At 41.1% G+C, this 21,569-nt stretch overlaps 1 protein-coding gene and 1 long non-coding RNA gene across 20 annotated transcripts in view, besides 1 other annotated feature; one reads left to right on the forward strand and one right to left on the reverse strand.

The window, feature by feature from the left end:
• The window catches only part of PSD3 (pleckstrin and Sec7 domain containing 3), a 557,503-nt gene that overhangs the window by 461,198 nt on the left and 74,736 nt on the right, over nucleotides 1–21,569 (reverse strand). The window lies entirely within an intron of this gene.
• Nucleotides 762–18,373, forward strand: LOC105379303 (uncharacterized). The gene is made up of 3 exons (XR_949546.3): nucleotides 762–912; nucleotides 11,525–11,575; nucleotides 12,093–18,373. It is a non-coding gene; the product is annotated as an uncharacterized LOC105379303 (long non-coding RNA).
• Nucleotides 13,155–13,432: a silencer, noted in NCBI's record as "fragment chr8:18859165-18859442 (GRCh37/hg19 assembly coordinates)". NCBI's record gives its function as "represses an EF-1alpha promoter that drives an FKBP-Casp9 reporter gene in an ReSE screen in phorbol 12-myristate 13-acetate-treated (for megakaryocytic differentiation) K562 erythroleukemia cells {active_cell/tissue: K562(+PMA)}" and the evidence as "EXISTENCE:reporter gene assay evidence [ECO:0000049][PMID:32094911]".

Genomic DNA, 21,569 nt, shown 5'->3' on the forward strand with positions numbered 1-21,569 from the left:
TACCACAGCACTTAGGAAATGGTTTTCCTAATTAGTCTAATCATCACTTCTGTTCTACATGGTTGTAGCTGACTAATTACCCAACTCAAAAATGCTCACCCAACCCCCAATGCCAAGCTCCTCCAGAGCTCTATTTCCAATCACACTACTTAAGCCATTGTTCACAAGAACATTAATGACACTATCACATGTTTAAAAAGTGTTGATTTGAAGGTGTGGAAGAGAGTCCCCAAACTTGGGGACTTTTTTACCTTAGAAACTTTTAAGGAACAGAAATATGCAAATAAGAGCAGGGAAAATAACTTTGGTTTCTGAAATTCTCTTAACCATTGTTTTACAAGTCTACAGCAATGGAAAAATGACATGGAATAAAAAGCGTGTGTTTGTCCGGGAATGTAAGCGCTTGCCATTTTGCCATGGGGGCTTCAAAGCTGACTGCAAGCCAGGGCCGAGCCCACCATGTGACTGTCACTGTGTTCTAATAAACAGCAGCCTGCATGGTCGGGACTCCAGGTAAAGATAAATTGGGTTCCGTAGGTATTCTTTTTTCAGACGGCCTCTATTCAATTCCTCCAGTTTTAAAATTCTCTTATGAAGAAATAAATAGCATGCCAGAGATGACAAAGGCCATGAATGTAAAAACACAAGGTAGCGGGGCTGAGTCTCAATAACCAGTGAGCACCTCCTGTGCACTGGAGCTAGACACTGCACAATGTTCTAGAAGCCATTTTTTGTTCTAGGACAATTTTTGAAGTGGTTTCATTTGCCTTATTACCTCAGATAGGTGTTGCTGAGTGACTGGACAGATTTCTTCTGCTTTCAGTCTCTTTTCATGGGTCCTTCAGAATGAGTTTTGGAAAGGAGAAAAACAAAAAGAGACCAGAAGGAACTGAGAAGCTCAAAGCATCAAAGGTGAATAAATTTGGTATTTGGTTTTATTTTTAACATGTAGAAGAGCATCAAAGAAAAAAGAAACACAGATTTTAGTCAGGAAACAAAAATTACTCAAAATAGCAAGTATAGGTTAGATGATTTAATGAGAATACTAGGGATTAGAGAATGTCCCAGCTCTATTAATAAATTATCTTGGGCAAATCTCCTTAGTTCTGAGGTCTGATTACATTTTCTATGCTCATAGTACCTTCTTCTTACATAACTTGCATCATCTCAAACAAATCTAAAAACCAACAACAATAAATATCCTAACAAATGGCACTTTTTATTCCTTTAAGCTGCCTCTCAAGAGCCACCCTGCAAGTGGGGTTTGGATCAACTTCCCACCTGACATATGCCCAACCAAGTGGCTATTCTAATGCCTCAGCACTGTGCTAGAATCAATGGTGAAGAAAGATGAAATGCTGCCTTATCTTTGATCTAAGAAGCTTATAGTCTAGGTGGAAGGATGTAACACAAAGCAATATCCAACAAGAGTGCTACATCTCAATAAATGGCAACTCCAAGAATCCCCATTAATTGAGGCAGAAATCTATGTCATTCTTCCTTTCCTTACACCCCATCAATCATCAGGTTCTGTTGATCTACACAAAATGTGGCTCATTTATCTTTCCACTTGTCTGTATCACAGCTGCCACCATCCCTGTCCAAGAAATCTTCATCTCTCACCTACAAAAGCTCACTGATTAATCCCTCTGCTTCCTTTCTTGCCCTCTTCAATCCGTTCTTCACAGGGCATCCAGAGTGATTTTTTTAAAAGGCTAAACTGCTTAAACCTCTTCAGTGACCTTCCATGTTCACAGGATAAAATCCAGGTACCCTCCTTTAGCCGTAAGGCCCTGCATGGTCTGGCCCTAGCTTATCTTTGCAATCCCATGCCTTCATTCCTACCGCTCCACCCACTCTTCCTCACTTGGCTCCGCCGCCTGGCCTTCTCTCAGTTCTTCATATGCGACGCTCTTTTCTGCCCATGGCCATTGTGCTTGATATTCCTCTGTACGGCATATGCTTCCTCTGGCCAGCGCCATTTCATCTGCCAGGGACATCTGCTGTTCCTGCCTGGCCAGCAATCCTTCTCCTGGTAACAGAACACCTTTTTTCTTCTTGAAGTCACCTTTCCCTCATTCTCACTCCATGTGGTTTGGCTTAAACTGGCAACTTCTCCTCATCCCCACCCGGGCAATCTACAATTACCAGGATATTTCTGGTAATAAGGAAACAAATTTTAATTGAAATTTTTTAAAACAGAATATTTTAAAGTAATTACACAATCAGAAAAGGTTGCCTGTGCCTATGAATACCTTCTCCAGAGGCCTGTCCTCCACCTACCTTTCCATGATCTGTAATTCCCCTGATGATCACATTCACGAACAGATCAACCAAGCTGCAGTGTTACACTAACAGTCATGCAGTGATCTCAGTTTTGCCAAAGTGCTTTCAAATAACTGAGGAGTGGGGGAAGCAAAATCCTGCCTCCAAAGACAGTTAAAAGGACCAGATGATCCTCTTACTCTCTCCTATTAACCCAGATAAATTTATCAGCTCAGCTAGCTGATACTTCAGCCCCAGGAAAGTGAAATACATAACTGGGGTAGAAGAAGCTGCCGGCCAGAGCCCAAGGAAAATGGGGCACCAGAAACACGGGTTTTACATGGGCCCAATTCAGTTTTACATAGGGTCTCTCCCTCATCCCGCGTGGAGATTAGCAAGTCAAATTTAATACTTTTGACCACACACTGGTTTAGATGCAGTATTGAACTAAGTCAGACTGAATTTCAGTGGTAAAAATACACAAACAAAAAATTACTACAGAAGTGAACTTGGCTACAGAGTCATAAGGTGATGTGTTTACTCTCTCGGACAATAATCTTGGGCAACAGAAAACACACACACACACATACACACACACACACACACATACACACACACACACACACACACACACACTCCTGAAACTCCCTGGGGAGGTTTCACAGTACACCACTTCCCTGGGTGTCCTGTGGCTAGGGTCAACTGTGACCTACAGGCAGGGCCTTCTCTGACTGCTTTTATTGATAGCTGAACCACCAGAATTGGTCCAAAATTGGTAATACCTGTGGAATGAGGGAGGGAGCATTTGTCAATTTGGGACACCACCAAAACAGCCAGTGACACTTAAAAAGACTAATTCATATACATGCAAAACAAACAGTGTTAATTAAGTTAGAGGTGTCATTTTAATGCTTGTTTCAATGTCAGGACCTTTAGACAAAGGCATTAAAGACATTTTGTCTGAGCTCTAAAGTAAAAATAAATTAAGGGTCTGAATTAGCACCCTCAATCTAGCTTCAAAACAACTTTTATCCATGTTTAAAATCCCCTTGACTAAATTATCAAAATAATGGCTGTGCTTTTATTGAATATTTACAATGCGCCAGACATGGGGCTGAGCATTTCACAATCACGATTTCCCTTAAATCATTCAACCCTCAAAAACACTCCTACGTAACAAGTTTTACCCTCATTGTACTAATGAAGAAACTGAGGCTCAGAAAAACTAATACGTTTGCCCAAAATTGAATCATCAGTGAAAATGTCCATCAAACCTAGGTCGGTCAAATTCCATCATGAATTCATAATGGTTTCCAAACCAGTCTATGGTAGAACATTTTTAACAGGTTTATACCCTGTTTTTATGAAAAAGTTTCAGGCTTTATTGTGAATTCAGTTATATAACTAATAAGGATCAGACCTCAAACTGCAGTTAATCCCAATTGTGTGCTGAGATCAAAAGGTATGTCTCATTAAATCAAGGCAAGTGGGACTATAGCTTGCTGAAACTCCCAGGGAATCCTTTTAATTTGTTAGTGATACTTAAAAAAAAAAAAAATCTTCTAATCTTCTGTTCAAAACAATTTGATGGTTTCTCATCTCACAGTAAAAGCTAATGACCCTACAGTTGTGCTTGGAAGTGTCTGGCACACACCTCAATAAATACTTGTTGAATGAATGGATAAATTCAGAGAGCCACTATATCCTTTCTTATCCTTTCAATAAAAAGATGCACAAGTTTCCAGGGAAATAAAACACTAACAATAAAAGAAGTTGACGAACTGAAAGCTTTTCTTTAGGAAAATCACTGAACTCCAAGTTCAGATAAGATAACCAAAAAGGACTCAAGTGTGCCCTAATTAGAACAAATGAACTTCAGGCTACTTCATTTTGTTAACTCTGAAGAAGATTCAACAGGACCTTTAAAAATGTACTAGAAATGATTCAGTCTTCTTCATCCATACATTAGAAACCATAATTTTTTTTAAGTAGTGGACTTGAAGTCAACACCTGAGTACTTGTCCAACTTTGTCCTTAATTCATTTTCTTTCTGTTTCCTCATTTGCAAAATGACATGAGACTCCAAGATTTCTAAGGTCCGTCTGAGCTCTGATATTGTATTATTAATCACAATCTCCAACTTAATTGACAAAACAACTCAATAATTATTTCTATCATAAAAATAATCTGATTAAAGGACGCAATTTATTACAAAATCAGAAATAGACACCTCATCCAAAGGTCAATTCCTAATTTCTTGTATAATCCAAATCTTCCAAATGCAATAATTTAATCCAGAATATCTAGGGAGTGACATAGCCTCTGTCCCATTAAAATTGGATTAAAATCCAAAATAAGAAAATCTTGTAAATGTCTTTTCTGTAGTCCTCAGAGAAAGACAGAGTGAGTGTACTCCTTTTGCCAGAGTCAGTTTTCTCTTTAGATCATATTCTTTATTCCAAACACTTACTGGTAACTATTACGTCCACTAAGTCTTCTCTCCTTAGGTTAAAGATCACAGTTCTATGACCTCTCCTGACATCACATGATTTTTTCACCACTCACATACCTGTTCACTGTTAATGTCCCCCTTTAAATGTGACACCCAGAATCCAATAAAATAATTCTCAGAGTCTCATTGTTTCAGAGTATAGTGGCACTGTTTCTGGCACTTATTTATTGATGAAGATAAAACCAACTTGACAGCATTGCTTTAACAGTTAAATAAGATAATGAGTGTAAAGTCTTAACACAAGGTTTGGCAGATAGTAACCTCTCAATAAATGGCTACTGCTGCTGTGATTGCTAGTAACAATAAATTGTAATACTATTTCATGAGTATTAGAGCTTATCCCCCCAATTCAGTTGTATGCTTTAGCTCTCAATAACACTGAAAGTTTGCCTTATACATTATTAGCTGTTTTTCCCCACATCAGGGATAGGTAGAAAAAATGCTGAGGCTCAATTTAAATCGAAGATCAATCAGAAACCAAGATAAAGTAACTCTGAAATTAAGACTTAAATTAATGGCAAACAGGGTATGATTTATTTAAGGAGTTAATTTATCCTCTGTTTTCCAGAACAATTTGATTATATCAAACAATTTGATTATATCAATATAATTTGATTATATCAATCACTTTTTTCAGCTAAAGAGCACTATCCCTCAATCATACCATTTAAAAGATGAAGCAAATGTATGTATCACTGACATGTGCTGAGAAGGCAGTCTGGCACAGAGTTGAAGGGAGTGAGCTCTGGAACCGGACTGACTAGAGTTCCGTATCCTAGATCTACCACTTACCCACTGTGTGATCTAAGGCAAATTACTTAACCTCTCTGGTCTCAGGCTTCACATCTATAAAATGTGAGTCATGACAGGACCTATCTACCTTATGAGGGGCAGTAAATTATCCTAAACAACATTGCTAAAAATGTATTATCTGGAAGTCTCAGACATTTTCAATTTTTATAGGTCCTCATCTCTGTTAGCCATTGCTGAAGTCAATCAACATGTTTGTATTCTCTGCATATTTATAATTATCTATTTTCTGAAACATCCATTTGTTTTTACGGTAGATTTTAAGATTACTGTAAAAAAATCCATCTTTATTTTAATACTTAACTAACCATATATGCCTCACTACAGCAAATCATGTGTTGGTATTAACAGAGAATTATGAGATAAAGAAACAAATAAAACTGTGCTTGTCATACCTGCAGCTGCTCTGCATATACACCTGTGCTGTCTAATACGACAGTCACATGGGGCCATTTAGCACCTGAAATATGGCAGATGTGCTGTGAGTGTAAAATATAGGCCAGATTTCTAAGTACAAGCAAAGAATATAAATTATCACTAAGCTTTTGTCAAAATGACAATATTTCGGACACAGTAGGTTAAATAAAATATATTACCTACATTACTTCCATTGATTTCTTTTTACTTTTTTTTAATGTGGCTACTAGAAAATTTAAACTTACTTGTGAAATTCTCATCATATTTCTATTGAATAGCACCCATACAGAAGATCCTAAAAAGTATGCCTCATTAAAATCAGGACAAGATCTATGGTCTAAAGTATAGCAGAAACTAAATGTAGAATTTACAGGAATTTTCAGAGTTCAGATAATTAATTTCAAACTCTTCTCCAACCCCCACCGAGACATATCCTTTTATAGGTACTTTTTAAGTACCGCGTCCAGTCTAGAGCCATCTAAGAAGCTTTCATTAGCCAGTGGTGACTTTCAAAGGTTTATTCTATTTTCCACAAGCTGACAAAATTTATTTATAACAAAGCCAAAGGACTGCTTTCCAGCAAGGGAGCTGTTTACTGAAGAGATTTGGCCTTAGCAAGTAGGAATCCAGAGAATTTAAAAGCTGACAACTGAACTGGCAAATTGGCCCCAGTACTGGGACTTTGCCTATAGCTCCAAAGCATGTACTCAGAGGTCTAGGACAAATATGGCCTTGGGATGTGAATGAGACCCAGAAGTCTGGCCTTCCCTACATAATGCAAATGAAACTTGGCCTAGTCTCTTCAGCTATCTAATTACTAAACAAAACTCCCAGACGCCAGTAGCTTTTTTGCAAAGATCAATAAAAATGCAGAGTGGAAAGCGGAGATACTGAAATGCTATCAACAAATGCTACAACAATATATTGTTGTTCTGAGTCTGAAAGTTCCAGCTGGAAAAGGCCCAATGTGGCAATAATAGAGAAGTAGAGGAAGAGCAGAAGCAAAATCTAAGGAGGAAAAATAAACCAGGAAGTATTACCCTAAGATCTCTTTCTACTCAAAATGAGGTGCACCAGTGTATTAGTCTGTTCTCAGGCTGCTATTAAAGACATGCCCGGGACTCAGTAATTTCTAAAGGAAAGAGGTTTAATTGATGCACAGCTCAGCTTGACTAGGAAGGCCTCACAACCATGGAGGAAAGCAAACGGCCAAAGGCACATCTTACATAGTGGCAGGCAAGAGAGCATGTGCAGGGGAACTGCCTTTTATAAAACCATCAGATCTCGTGAGACTTATTCACCATCAATAGAAACAGCAGGGAAAAACCCACCCCCATGATTCAATTACCTCCCACCAGGTCCCTCCCATGACACGTGGGGATTATGGGAGCTACAACTCAAGACCAGATTTGGGTGGGGACACAGCCAAACCATATCAGCCAGCATCCGTAGCATCACCTAGTAGCTTGTTAAACATGCAGATCTCAGGCCCCACTCCAGAACTAAAGAATCAGAATCTTCACTTCAACAATGTCCCCAGGTGATTTCCACAGTAATGTCTGGGAAACAACTGGTCATCCACACAAGATCCAAGGACACCGGTTTCTTTAAATTCTTACTCTTATTACCCATCTGTTGCCCTGTGGTTGCTACCTGGAAACATGGGGCCTTTTGTGTTTAATGCATGCAATGAACATTTAGTTGACTGAATAAATTCTTGGAAAATGTGATCTTATACATGCTTAATGGACGGTGGGGAATCTGTGCCTCAGATGAGAGCTAAAGAAGTCATCAGTTACTGAAAACATGTGGACAGAGTGTACCTCAGATCCATGCATATTGCATAACTATTAACAGAACTAGGGACTCCCTGAGGTTGAACAAGATGAGCAGACACAATTCATACCCAAAAGACATTTATTTAACGGCTCAGACAAAAGAAACAGTTTTGATTTTTGATGGAGATGGGAAGATAAGGACTTTATGTTGAAAAAAATCAACAGCATTAACAAAAATTAGTGTTTACAACAGTAAGCTAGATGATTTGGGCTGTTTTAAATTACACCAAAGGTCCTTTGGGAATTATGCTACTACATGAAGCATCATATTTTTTTCCTCTTTACTGTCTTTCCCATTGGTATTCGAACATGCTGTTACTTCCTGCATTTTTAAAACATCTCTTGACCTCATTTCTCCCTGCAGCTACATTTCTCACATTCTCTTTACAGCAAAAATCTTTGCAATATTTTTCTACATTTGATGTTTCCGTTTCTCTACTTCTGCGCTCTCTTACATACCCACTGATCAACATTTGGTCCCCACTACTACACTATAATCCCAGTTGGTTATCAACCTCAGCAATGACATCTCCATTGCTAAATCCCTGGGTCAAATCTCATTTGCCCCTCATTTTACTTTACTTCCCGGGAGAATCTGACTCATCTTGCTTGAAGTGGTTTTTTCACATGGCTGGCAAGACCTCGCACTCTCGATTCCCCTCATTCGCTGCTTTCCTTCATTCTCCTTTATTGGTGCCTTCTCATCTCTTCAATCTCAGTGTGGAAGCAGCCCAGGTTTTGGCCCTCAACTTCTTTTCCTTTCTATTGACATTCGCTCCCTGTGGATTTCATCCAGTTTGTATATTCTGACAACTCTCAAATGTTCACCTCTAACCCAGCCCCTTCCTCTGTAATCCAGATAAATATATCCACCTGCCTACCAGACAGCTCCCTGACTGAGCTCCTGATCCTTTCCAAAATCAGCTTCTCCCTATCTCAGTTAATGCACCTCCATCCTTCAAGATGCACAGGCCAGTATTTTGCAAGTCACCCATGCTTTCTCCCACTCACATCCCACATTCAGACAATGAGAATATCCTTCCCACTCAACCTTCAAAACATACCATGGTGGTCCAAGCCACCACCCTCACTCACCTAGGTTACAACAGCCTCCCAACTGGTTTTCCTACTTCCACTCTTCCCCGCTTCAGTCTATTCTCATGAGACACAGCAGCAGCATGTCCTCCAAGAACATCAGCCAGATCATGTCCCATCTTTATTTGAAACTCTCTAACAGGCTTCTCTGCTCACTCTCAGTCCAAACCGAAGCCCTTGCAATAGCAACAAGGCCCCACAGGACCTGGCGACGGTGTCCGGTCCGACCCCACTGCTCACTGTGCTCCAGTCACACTGGTGTCCCTGTTCCTGGAAGGCAGGAAGTATGGCTCTGCCTCAGGGCTCTGCACCTGCTGTGCCCTCTTCCCGGTGCACTTACCTTCCTTCTTCAGGTCTTTCCTCATGCGTCACCTCAACAAGGTCATCCTTGACCACCCATTTGTAACTGCAACTCCACCCCCTCCCAAACTCCCTCCTCTGCCTTATTTTTCCCTGAAGGGCTTCACACTGTCAACATACTACACACACGCACATGCAGACACAACTCATACACTGTCTGTCTTACCTTGTAAGAACAAGGATTTTTTTCTTTTTTAATTTTTATTTTACTTATTTTTTTGTCTGTTTTGTTGACCACTGTATCCCTGGAACCTAAAATAATGCCTGCCTCATAGGAGACACTCAAACACCATCTGTTGAATGAATGTATGAATGAAGGAAAAGTGACTGTGACACAGAACTGCATATGACCTATTACAGTACGCCCTGTAGCCTTTTAAAAGAGTTGTATTTTAAATAAGTCACTTGGTATGCACATATATTCAGATACCGTGGAAAAGACAAAGCTGCGCCAATTTGATAATTAAATTAACCACATACAAAATCTGGCCCATTGTAAAGAAAAAGCTCTCTTAACTGAGAGATGCCCTGAAACACTCCAAGGGTGCTAGGCTTTCTCAAAACCCTGGACCTTGCTTCACCAGAGCTCATTTAAAAGATGGGTCCTGGGCCGGGTGCGGTGGCTCACGCCTGTAATCCCAGCACTTTGGGAGGCCGAGGCGGGTGGATCACAAGGTCGGGAGATTGAGACCATCCTGGCTAACACGGTGAAACCCCGTCTCTACTAAAAATACGAAAAATTAGCTGGGTGTGGTGGCATGCACCTGTAGTCCCAGCTACTCAGGAGGCTGAGGCAGAAGAATCGCTTGAACGCGGGAGGCGGAGGTTGCAGTGAGCCAAGATCTTGCCACTGCACTCCAGCCCGAGCAACAGAGCGAGATTCCATCTCCACAAAAACAAAAAACAAAAAAATGGGTCCCAAAAGGTCCACCCTTTCTGCAAGCAGGTGAATGTAGCCAGGCTAATATAATGGACTTTGATTTCTTTAGATGAAAGAGAAATTATGATGCAAAGTACAAAGCACTTTATAGTTATGATACATAAATTCCAGGTGTAACCCATTTTCAGTGAACTTCTGGACTCAAGTACAAGACAGAAAAAAACGTTTTTGTTATACTTTAGTAACTCACTCACTCTGTAGATGGACATGGTGGGTCCCATTTTTATAAACCACATTTCTTAAAAACCTAAAATTATCTTCCAGGTGAAAGGAAAGCAAAATAATCTCAGCAAACATTTTAGATGTAGAAATAAATTATTCAGGAGGGAAGCAGCTTTGTACACAACATAAGTGATGTGAGGCAGACAAATGCCAAAAGTGATTTTAGAACAAAATGGAAAGAATGTCCTAATGTCTCTACCTTATAATAACCCTTTTCATTCCTTAGACCATAACAGGTTTGCTTTTGTTTCTGAAGTTATGTATACAGCAGAAATTCTTAACCACCCTCCAATTAACCAACTCCAGGATGTCTCACAAGGTGACACAAGTTACCCGGGAAGACATGCTGGCTGATGCCCATTCATACCTGCTGCTCACAGCTGGTGACAGATAAAGAAACAGAATGAAAAAATCAGTACCTGGCGCTCAGGCTGTGGTCTTAAGACTACAGCAAGCTCATGAAATTCTGCCCACATGACTGAGGTGGCGATTACCAAGAATCAGTTGTGTTTGCACCTGAATGGATTTGTCCTGGTTGTACTTGCTACCAAAATTATGTAACTTAAATATTATGTAAAACAAACATAAGCATAATGAGAGAGAGAGGTGTATTGCTAAATGGAATGCTTTAGAAAGAAGCCATTAAATGGCCACAAGAGAATTCTACTGACAAATTTTTTATTTTAAAATTATTTTTTACTAAACAGAGGCAAAATAAAACTTTACAAAATATTTATAAAATACAAATATTCATGAAGGAAATACCTCTGTATACTAACTACACCACCCAAGTTTTTTAAAAAATGGAATTACCATTATCTTTCTAACTCCCCTCTGAATCTTACTGAACTTCCCTCTGAATCATTACTTAATGATTTTATAAATGATAATATTTTCTCACTGACTAATCACAGATACATTTGTTTTAGTAACGCTTCTAAAATTTCGGCTTTAATTCCTCTAGGCCTGTCAAGTTCTTTTAAATCTATAAACTATATTATCTTTACATAAGCTCCAGTTTTAGAATATGATATTGTATTTTATTAGACTTTCTTTCCCAAGCAGGACACAGCAATATGAGAGGCCAACAACTGATATACAAGCCACACCGAGAAGGTAGGAAGAATTGCACCCAAAATGAAAAAATATGACTTGGCACAGTGACTCACACCTGTAATCCCAGCACTTTGGGAGGCCAAGGTGAGAGGATCACTTCAAGCCAGTGGTTTGAGACCAGCCTGGGCAAGATGGTGGGACCCCATCCCTACAAAAAGTTAAAATACAAAAATTAGCCAGGCATGTTAGTGTGTGCCTGTGGTCCCAGCTACTTGGGAGGCTGAGGTGGGAGGATAACTTGAGCCCAGGAGTTCGAGGCTGCAGTGAGCTAGAATCATGCCCCTGCATTCCGGCCTTGCTGACAGAGCAAGGCTCTGTCTGAAAAAAAAAAAAGAGAGAGAAAAAAAACCTGATACAATCAAAAGAATGAATGAAACAGATCTCTGAGACTGCTACATCACACCCGGTGAACACAGCCTAAGCCTTTATCTACTTCTATCAGAAGTCTCTGCCAGAAGGGAAAGAGCTGGGTGAGGAAATCCATAGTAACACATTACTCTTATCTTTTATGTCCTAGATTGCCATTTGCAAGAGAGCTATTAATGAAAGTCACACACCTGAAGCTCTAAAAGCAGCCCAGGGAATGGGGAAAATTCCCTGTCTCCAAAACAGGAGATGAAGCCACTGTGAAGCCAATAGCAAAAAAGTGATCAGGCCAGAAATCCTGCTGACTCAGGAAATTCTATTCTGCCGTTAGACGAAGCTAAATATCAGAGCACCTACTCTGCCGTATATTCTTAATAGGGTTCCTGTACTTAGCTATGTAACAGCCTATGGGGTTTAACTCATTCGCTAAAGAAACATATTGAATGAGGACCCTGGGCCAAAGCACCACATATAGTCGTCCATCGGTAAAGTGGGGCATAAGTGGGGATTGGTCATAGATTTGGGGATTCAAAGGTGCTCAAATCTCTTATACAAAGTGATGTAATGAGTAAGAAGGAACTAAGCGCACACATTCTCTGAGCACCTGCCACGCGCAAACACAGTGCTAAATGCTTCCACATGTATTATCTTTTTAAAATGACTTTTTTTTTTAGATAAGATCTTGCTCTGTCACCCAGACTGGAATGCAGTGATGTGATCACAACTCACTGCAGCCTTGACCTCCTAGGCTCAAGCAATCCTCCCTCCTCAGTCTTCCAGGTAGCTGGGACTACAGGCTCGCACCATCACATCTGGCTAAATTTTTTCTTTTTTGTAGAGGTGGGGTCTCACTATGTTGCCCAGGCCCGTAGACTTTATTTATTAGAGTAGTTCTAGGTTCACAGTAAAATTAAGCTGAAGGTGAGGAAATTTTCGATACACCTCCTGCCCCCAACACATGCACAGTTTCCCCCATTATTATCAACCCCCACCAGAGCGGTACATTTGTTGCAGTCAATGCACCTACACTGACACACTGATCTTATTTAGACCTTAGTTCCAGCGTCTCTGGAAGAGTGGCAGTTTTCTCATTGGCTGACCCTATTGCCTGGTCTCGCTGCTCGGTGCAAAGGCCTTTAGAAATTCTCTGCTTTGACTGACTGGCTAACAAGTGGAGATTTGTACCCGAAGCATCGAATCTGTATAGGAATCAAGCACATGGAAAAATCTTTGATTCCTCCAGTGTCTTGGATCTCAAGGAAAGCTCCAGCCTCAGCCTTGGTGGAGGCAGCAGCCCCGGGCTCAGAGAAGGAAGGTATTCAGATGACAGGATTCAGACATCTCAGGATGACCAAAGAGTATCCAACCATTCACCAAGGAGCAGAAGCTTCCCTATCACTGACAGACAGTACTTCCTGCGGTGTCCCCAGCATCCCCCAGAAACTGTGGACAAGGCACAAGAAGAAGTCTGAATATGTGAAAGCCAGCAACAGCGCCTTTGAGGCCGACTAACGGTGACCCTCCCCGGGTACCCTGCACTGGCTGAGGTTGACTAGACAAGGGGAGAAGGGCCAGGACTGGAGCTGAGCCACACTCATTTCTGCTAGCAGCTTGGTGCAAACATATCATCCTCTCTCACTAACTGATCACCCTGCCTTAGGACACAGAAAAGGAACATCCCTTGAAGGCAAAATGAAACTGTTCCTTCTTAGAACTGCTAAAGCTGTTGGCCAGAAAGTGACTTTGAGAGGTCATAAAGTTTATATCTCTATCTTCAAGCAAAATCACACCTACATGGAACTTTCCCAGCCTAAAGACCTCCAAGGAAGGAAGGCGACAACTCCCCCGTCTTCCTTGTGAGTTGCTGGTGTTCTAGGGTGTGTAACTTTCTGGTCTTACTGTAAGAGCTTGACCCTGAGGCACTTATAAACACATGGTTCTTACCGTTCCTATTATCGCATTTATTTCACCTTGATGAGGTATACTTTTTAAGGAACAAGCATATATCAACTTAGTAGTTCTAGTATCTACTGAAGAGTACCATCAAGATTGATTGTGATGGTCATTTGGCATGACTGCATGAATTCTTTATTCTTTTATGTGCAGTTTTTCTATAGAAAAACACTGAAAGTTAAAAGTTGAAAAAAATAAAACCATGTAGCATTTGCACATAACATATTTACATCTTCCCATATACTTTAAGTCATCTCTAGGTTTCGTATAATACCTAATACAATGTAAATGCTATGTAAATAGTTGTTATACTACATGAATAAATAATGACAAGAAACAGATGTCCATACATGTTCAGACACAACATTCTTCCACATATTTTGATCTGAGGTTGATTGAATGCATGATGCAGAACCCATAGAAACAGAGAGCTAAGTGTATTAGAATTTTTCTCCTGGCTTCCATAAAGCACACCTGTAGGCAATCACAGTCTAGGGTACAAGAAAGTCCAGTTTTGCCGTTTAATAGGTGTGTGACTTTAAGAAGGGCAATAATAATTCCAGTTCCCACTCAGCTAAGTATAACCTACCATCCAGGTCACATTTACTGCCTACTTACTGTCTTTCCAAAACTGTCTAAGCCCCTTCTAACCACTAAATGTTGGTGAGGTATTCCATGAGGTAATGATGCAGTGAGGCACAGAGATGTTAAAATAACTTGCCCAAGGTGACACAGATAGAAGCAAATCAGACTATCCAATTCAAGGGCACACTCCAACCACTATGCTGCACTGCCTCTGGTAACACAGAATATCCTTTAAGAGAAGAACAGGGCCAAGTACAATGGCACCCCTGTAGTTCCAGCTATTTGGGAGGCTGAGGGAGGAGGATTGTTTGAGGCCAGGAGTTGAAGGCTGCAGTGAGCTATGATGGCGCCTGGGAGTAGTCACTACACTCCAGCCTGGGCAACTGAGCAAGACCCCGTCTTTAAAAAACAAAAATAAAGAGGTCAGGTAAGTGAGTCTCCCCCTCCCAACTTCACACTTCTCACTCTCCTGAAATTCTTCAGGAGATCCTAATCAACCACATAAAACAAGCAAAGTGTAGAGATTATGTAAAATGTTTATTTTTCTTTCCATGCCCTTTTCTCCCCATTGAGTTTCATGGAGATCTGTGTGACTATGGGAGGCCTCCAGAGATTCAGCAATGGTAAGAAAATATGAGCACATTTTAAAAGAGGAGGGAAGAAGGAGGGAGGATTCCTCCCAAGAGAGTGGTGGCAACTTTACAACTTGAAAATGTCTGTGAGCCTGGCTTAAATTTTTATGACACATCTCTACCACACTGGCAGGGGGTGGGGGGTTGGGGACTTGGGTTGTCTTGGATCAAGACCCAGTGCTGAGGTAAGCAATGTAGCCAGACTGGCTTGATCAGCTCCTTGTAATCTCCCTGGCGAGGGATGTTTGTCAACTGGAGACCACACCCACTAAAGAGAACTAATTAGGTTCTAGGGGCAACCACTAAGGTCATCATTATTACCAGGTGAGATCAGTTTCCCAAACATTCCGATCTTAAGACTTGCATGGGGTGATTAGGAAGACTGCTCCTTCAGAACCACTGTACCAGAATCTTCAGGCAGCCCTAGAAATCTGAAACCAGGTAATTCTTGACAGACAAGTTTGGGAAACACTATTTAGATCATGACATTACAGTATCTAAAAAGATCAAGAAGGGTCTTCTAGGTAGGGTGTCCTCCTTTCAAGCAATTCTCTGTCTAATCCAGGAGGAGAAGACTATTTTCTATACATAAAAGTCTCCAGAGAACTGGCTTCCAAAATTTCCTTTCAGTATACATAAGAGTCTCAAGTCTGCAGAGCTTTGTGGTCCCTCTCAAATAGCTCAGGCAAAGGTTAAATCTCCATCCTTCTTCCAACCAGATATTTAAAAAACAATATTTGTTACACAAGTCATCATACTGAAAGTTTTGTTAACTCACTTTGGAAAATACGTGAGGGCCTAGAACTGTGCTAAGCCCTCTGGTGCTCTGTTTAAGATAAAGAACTTCACTTATTTCAAAGGTCAGGAAGAAGAAACAGAAAAGACAACCCACAGAATGAGAGAAGCTATTTGCAAAGCATATATCTGATAGGAGACTTCAACCCAGAATATAAAAACAATGCTTAAAATGTAAGAGTAAATAGACAAATAATATAATTTAAAAACGGTCAAAGGATCTGAATAGACACTTCTCCAAAGAAAATATACAGATGGCCAATGATATGGTTTGGCTTTGTCCCCACCCAAAACTCATCTTGAATCGGAACTCCCACAATTCCCATGTGTCGTGTGAGGAAGCCGGTGGAAGGTAATTGAATTACCGGGGTGAGTCTTTCCAATGCTGTTCTCTTGATTGTAATAAGTCTCAAGAGATCTGATGGCTTTAAAAATGGGAGTTTGCCCACACAAGCTGTCTCTTTGCCTGCTGCCATACATGTAAGACATGACTTGATCCTTCTTGCCTTCCACCATGATTGTGAGGCCTCCCCAGCCATGTGGAACTGTAATTCCATTAAACCTCTTTCTTTTGCAAATTGCCCAGTCTCAGGAACGTCTTTATCAGCAGTGTGAAAATGGACGAATACGAGCCAATAAGCACGTGAAAATATATTCATCATCATTAGTCATTAGAGAAACGAAAAGCAAAACCACAATGAGATACCACCTCACACCCACTAGAATGGCTACAAAACTTGTATGCTTGTGTTCAGAATGGCATTATTCCTAACTGTCAAAAGTGGAAACAACCCATCAACTGATGAACGGATAAATAAAATGTGACCCATCTAGTCAATGGCATACTATTCAGCAATAACAAGGAATGAAGTACTAACACATGCTACTTCATGGATGAGCACTGAAAACATGAGGAAAAAGCCAGCTACAAAAGGCCACATTTTGTATTGTTTCATTTACATGATATGTGCAGAACAGCAAAATCCAGACTCAGAAAATAGATTAGTGGTTGCCTGTGATGAGGGATAGGAGCAATGGGGAGAGGTGGCAACTCATGGGTCTGGAATTTTTGGGGTTTTTTTGTTTTCTTTTGAGACAGGGTCTCATTCTGTCACTCAGACTAGAGCACAGCGATGCAATCACGACACACTGCATGCAGCCTCAACCTCCTGGGCTCAAGCAATCCTCCTGCCTCAGCCTCCTGAGTGGCTGCGATTACAGGCACACATCACCATGCTCAGCTAATTTTTAAATTTTTTTGCTATTAAAGGGGTCTCACTCTATGTTGCCCAGACTGGTCTCAAACTCCTGAGCTCAAGAGATCCTCCTACCTTGGCTTCCCAAAGTGCTGAGATTACAGGTGTGAGCCACTGTGCCTGGCCTGGGCTGTTTTTGAAGTGATGAATATGCTCTAAAATTGACTATGGTGATGGGTGCACAACTCCATGAACATACTAAAAATCAATGAGTGTACACTTTAAATGGGTGAATCGTATAGTATGTGAATATCTCAATAAAGTTGTTTAAAAAAAGGATCCCATTTAATCTCCATGAGCCTCAATTTCACCCTCTGAAAATGGAGACACCACCTACCTTTCAATACTATAAAGGATATATAGGCCAGGTGCGGTGGCTCCCAGCACTCTGGGAGGCCGAGGCAGGCGAATCATGACGTCAAGAGATTCAGATCATCCTGGGCCAAAATGGTGAAACCCGTCTCTATTAAAAATACAAAAATTAGCTGGGTGTGGTGGCACGTGCCTGTAATCTCAGCTACTCGGGAGGTGGAGGGAGGAGAATCACTTGAACCCGGGAGGCGGGGGTTGCAGTGAGCCGAGATCACGCCATTGCACCCCCGGCCTGGGTGACAAGAGCGAAACTCCATCTCAAAAAAAAAAAAAAAAAAAGAATATATAAATACATACAGATGCATGCATGTACACACTCACACATACTATGTTTCACATAGTACCTAGCCCATAATAAATACTAAATAGATGTCATTCTTTCTCCTCTTCCTATCCCCACGCTTTTGTATTGTTATGCCTTGATACTGTGGTTCCACCACAAATTACAAAACTCAAAATTAAAATGTATTTCAACAGAGGTCTAACCATGAGAATTTCACACTGCTATCCTCAAGACTACTCCTACATGGCTAACTCTGAAGAAATCCTGGAGCCTGCGAATGTGACTGTCTACCTTCCAGACTTGTCACTACAGAGTATTTGGGGATAAAGAGTAAGACCTTTTTCCTCTGTTCCACTGCCTTATTAGAATGTTCCTTATTTCTAACCACTGGACACGGGCACCTTCACTTACCTATCTTTAAAACTCAGCACAATCCTTGCCAATACAGATGCTATTCAGACATTTTTCCTGTCAATTTCATCTACAATGAAAATCAACTGGGCCTCCAAGACAGCTCTGCAGGTGTCCCCAAAACACCTTAGCTTTGATATATAGCACTGCCCACCTGATTATTCACTGTGATACTAGGCAGATTCAAAGAGGGCTAGAAATTAGGGAACCACCTACAGCTTGCAACAAAAAGTCAACTGCAGCCAGCTGGGCCCAGTGGCTCACACCTGTAATCCCAGCAATTTGGGAGGCTGAGGGGGACAGATCACCTGAGGTCAGGAGTTTGAGACCAGCCTGGCTAACATGGCGAAACCCCGTATCTACTAAAAATACGAAACAGCCAGGCATGATTGGTGCACACCTGCAGTCCCAGCTCCTCTGGAGGCTGAGGCAGGAGAATCGCTTGAGCCCGAGGCAGAGGTTGCAGTGAGCCGAGATCTTGCCACTGCACTCCAGCCTTGGCGACAGAGTGAGACCCTGTCTCAAAAAAAATAAATAGAGAGAGAGTGAGAAATGACAGCCCAGGACAGATAATGCCATCTATTAAAAAAGCACTTTTGCTGTAAAGTTGCCCTAATATAGTAGTTACTAGCGGCCTGAAGCTATTTAAATTATCGAAATTAAATAAAATTTAAAATTCAGTTCTTAAATCTCACTAGCCACATTTCACATGCTTAGCAGCCACATGTAGCTACTGACTATCTTATTGGACAGGGCAAATATGGGACATTTCCATCATAGTAAAAGCTCTATTGAACAATGCTGATTCAGGCAGTAACTGCATCGATTCTATAAAGTTCACAAGTTCTGAGTTCTTAGGTACTGTAGTTTCAGTATTTGCTGATTGTGAAGTTTGACTCGCACTAGTACGATCCAAGTGAGGTTTGCCTAGGTCAGTGGACAAGGTTTTTTGGAGTGTACACTGAGCTCAGCACGAGGTAAGCACTTAATATTTGCTGAATGCTTAAATCAACAGCATAATAATATCTGTACTTCAGACTCTGCCTTGATACTTTCAGATATTAGCTCATGGAAAGCAATGGTTAATTTTTCTTCAAGGGAGATTTTTTATTTTTATTTTTATTTTTATTTTTGAGAGGGAGTCTCGCTCTGTTGCCTGGCTGGAGTGCAATGGCACAATCTCTGCTCACTGCAACCTCCGCCTCCTGGGTTCAAGTGATTCTCCTGCCTCAGCTTCCCAAGTAGCTGGGATTACAGGCACCTGCCACCATGCCCAGCTAATTTTTGTATTTTTAGTAAAAACAAGGCTTCACCATGACAGCCAGGCTGGTCTCAACTCCGCTGACCTCAGGCGATCCACCCGCCTCGGGCTCCCAAAGTGCTGGGATTACAGGCGTGAGCCATGGCGCCCGGCCAAGGGAGATTTTTATAGGGAGATATAAGCATCAGCGGGTGGGGAAGGTGGCTGACAGACCTTTTGTAGCCACTAGAAATGAATCGGCGAAACATAAAAATCTGCCCAAAAGTAACTTTGCTATTCAAACAAAGTTTCAGATGCAAGAAATATCTTGCCTCTTCAAACACTCACTACTTGCACCTTGTAGGGACATGAAGGCAGAGTCAGAGGAGACACTCTGGAAGATCACAAAGCCTGCTGTCAATTTCCAAGCATTTTTCCAATATAACTTCGCCAGAAAATAACACAGTCACGAAGACAGCAGCCATCTAATGGCATCGTCTGTGCCATCACTCTTATACCTAAATTTCCACTCTCCTAGTGTCCTATGACTCAATCAAAACTGTGCCTATCAAATAACTTCTTGAAAGTACAAGTTTTTGAAAATCTACATTCAAAAAAGCATGTAAGTTTCCATATACAGAGAAAAGCAGTTCCACTGGCCCTTAACCAGTAATCTCCTAGAGGCCAAACAAAAGAAGCTACAGCTGCTTCTATTAAAATTTTCTACTTCTCTTGTCCACAGACCAAACAGGCATAAGAAAACCAAGCTGCTCGATTTCTATAATTCACTTTTTCTTAGCAAAGGTCTGAGAACAGAAGGCCAGGGAAACAGGGAGCAGCTGCCGCCTGGTCTTATGAATGCCCTCGGCTCATTCCCCATCCTCCTCCTCATTGTTTCAAGCTCCTTTTCTTAACAATCTCTAAGCCCCAGCTCATGGGAAGAAATAACAAGGAAAAGCAGCCTTCACTGTGTCAACACCCTCTGTGGTTGAAGCATCTAGATCACTTCTCTGAGGTGATGCAATTAGAAATTAAATTAGAAATTAAAAAGAAATTAAAATACATTCCATTTTAATTTGTTAATCTGCTTTATTGTGAATTCCAATTAATGACACATAACTACGTGGAACTCCTTACATGTGGTCCTACAGAGATCCTTTTAGACACCCCAGGGGTTTTGTTGTTGTTGTTTAATTACACCATTTCTATCTCTTGAGCCAAACAACAAATCTGGTCCCACTATTAAGCCAACAAATGTATAATGGTCGGTGATGAATTAGTCATCCAATATTCAGATTCCAAGACTCGAATAATCTAAATATTAGAGCCAAAGAGCTCAGTTTCTGCAACACGCAATGCTAACTTTGAGACATAAAAACAGAATGGTGGTTAAGAAAATTGGATGACCTGAGTTTAAAGTCTCAGCTCTGCCACTTACTCACTGTGGGATCTTGAGCAGGTTCCTTAACCTCTCCTGACTTCAGAATGGAAATAATGACACTACTGACCTCATGGGTTGTCATGGGGAATAAGGGAGACAACCCAAGTAAGAACTCAATAAACATTAGCTGTGATTGTAAAAACGCCCCATGCCAGGAAAATATCACTCGAAATAAGCGTTTTCCAAAAGTTAGGACTTGGCCGGGCCTGGTGGCTCATGCCTGTAATTCCAGCACTTTGGGAGGCCAAGGAAGGCAGATCACCTGAGCTCAGGAGTTTGAGACCAGCCTGGGCAACACGATGAAACCCCGTCTATACTAAAAATACAAAAATTAAGCTGGGCGCAGTGGCGTGTACCTGTGGTCCCAGCCACTCGGGAGGCTGAGACAGGAGAATTGCTTGAGTCTGAGAGGCAGGGGTTGCAGTGAGCTGAGATCGCACCATTGCACTCCAGCCTGGGTGACAGAGTGAGATCTTGTGTCAACAACAACAACAGAAAAATCAGGACTTAACAAGAAACTTAGAAAATGCTGCTTTCTCAGAAGACCCGTGTGAAAATACCATGTAAGAAAAGAACACCAGCTTAGGTCAAAATGTTAATTTTCCCAGTTATCCTAAATCCCTAACTCCAATAATAATCTTTTAAAAATATCCTTCAACA

This window comes from Homo sapiens, chromosome 8 (assembly GCF_000001405.40).
Source record: "Homo sapiens chromosome 8, GRCh38.p14 Primary Assembly".
NCBI classification, from domain to species: domain Eukaryota; kingdom Metazoa; phylum Chordata; class Mammalia; order Primates; family Hominidae; genus Homo; species Homo sapiens.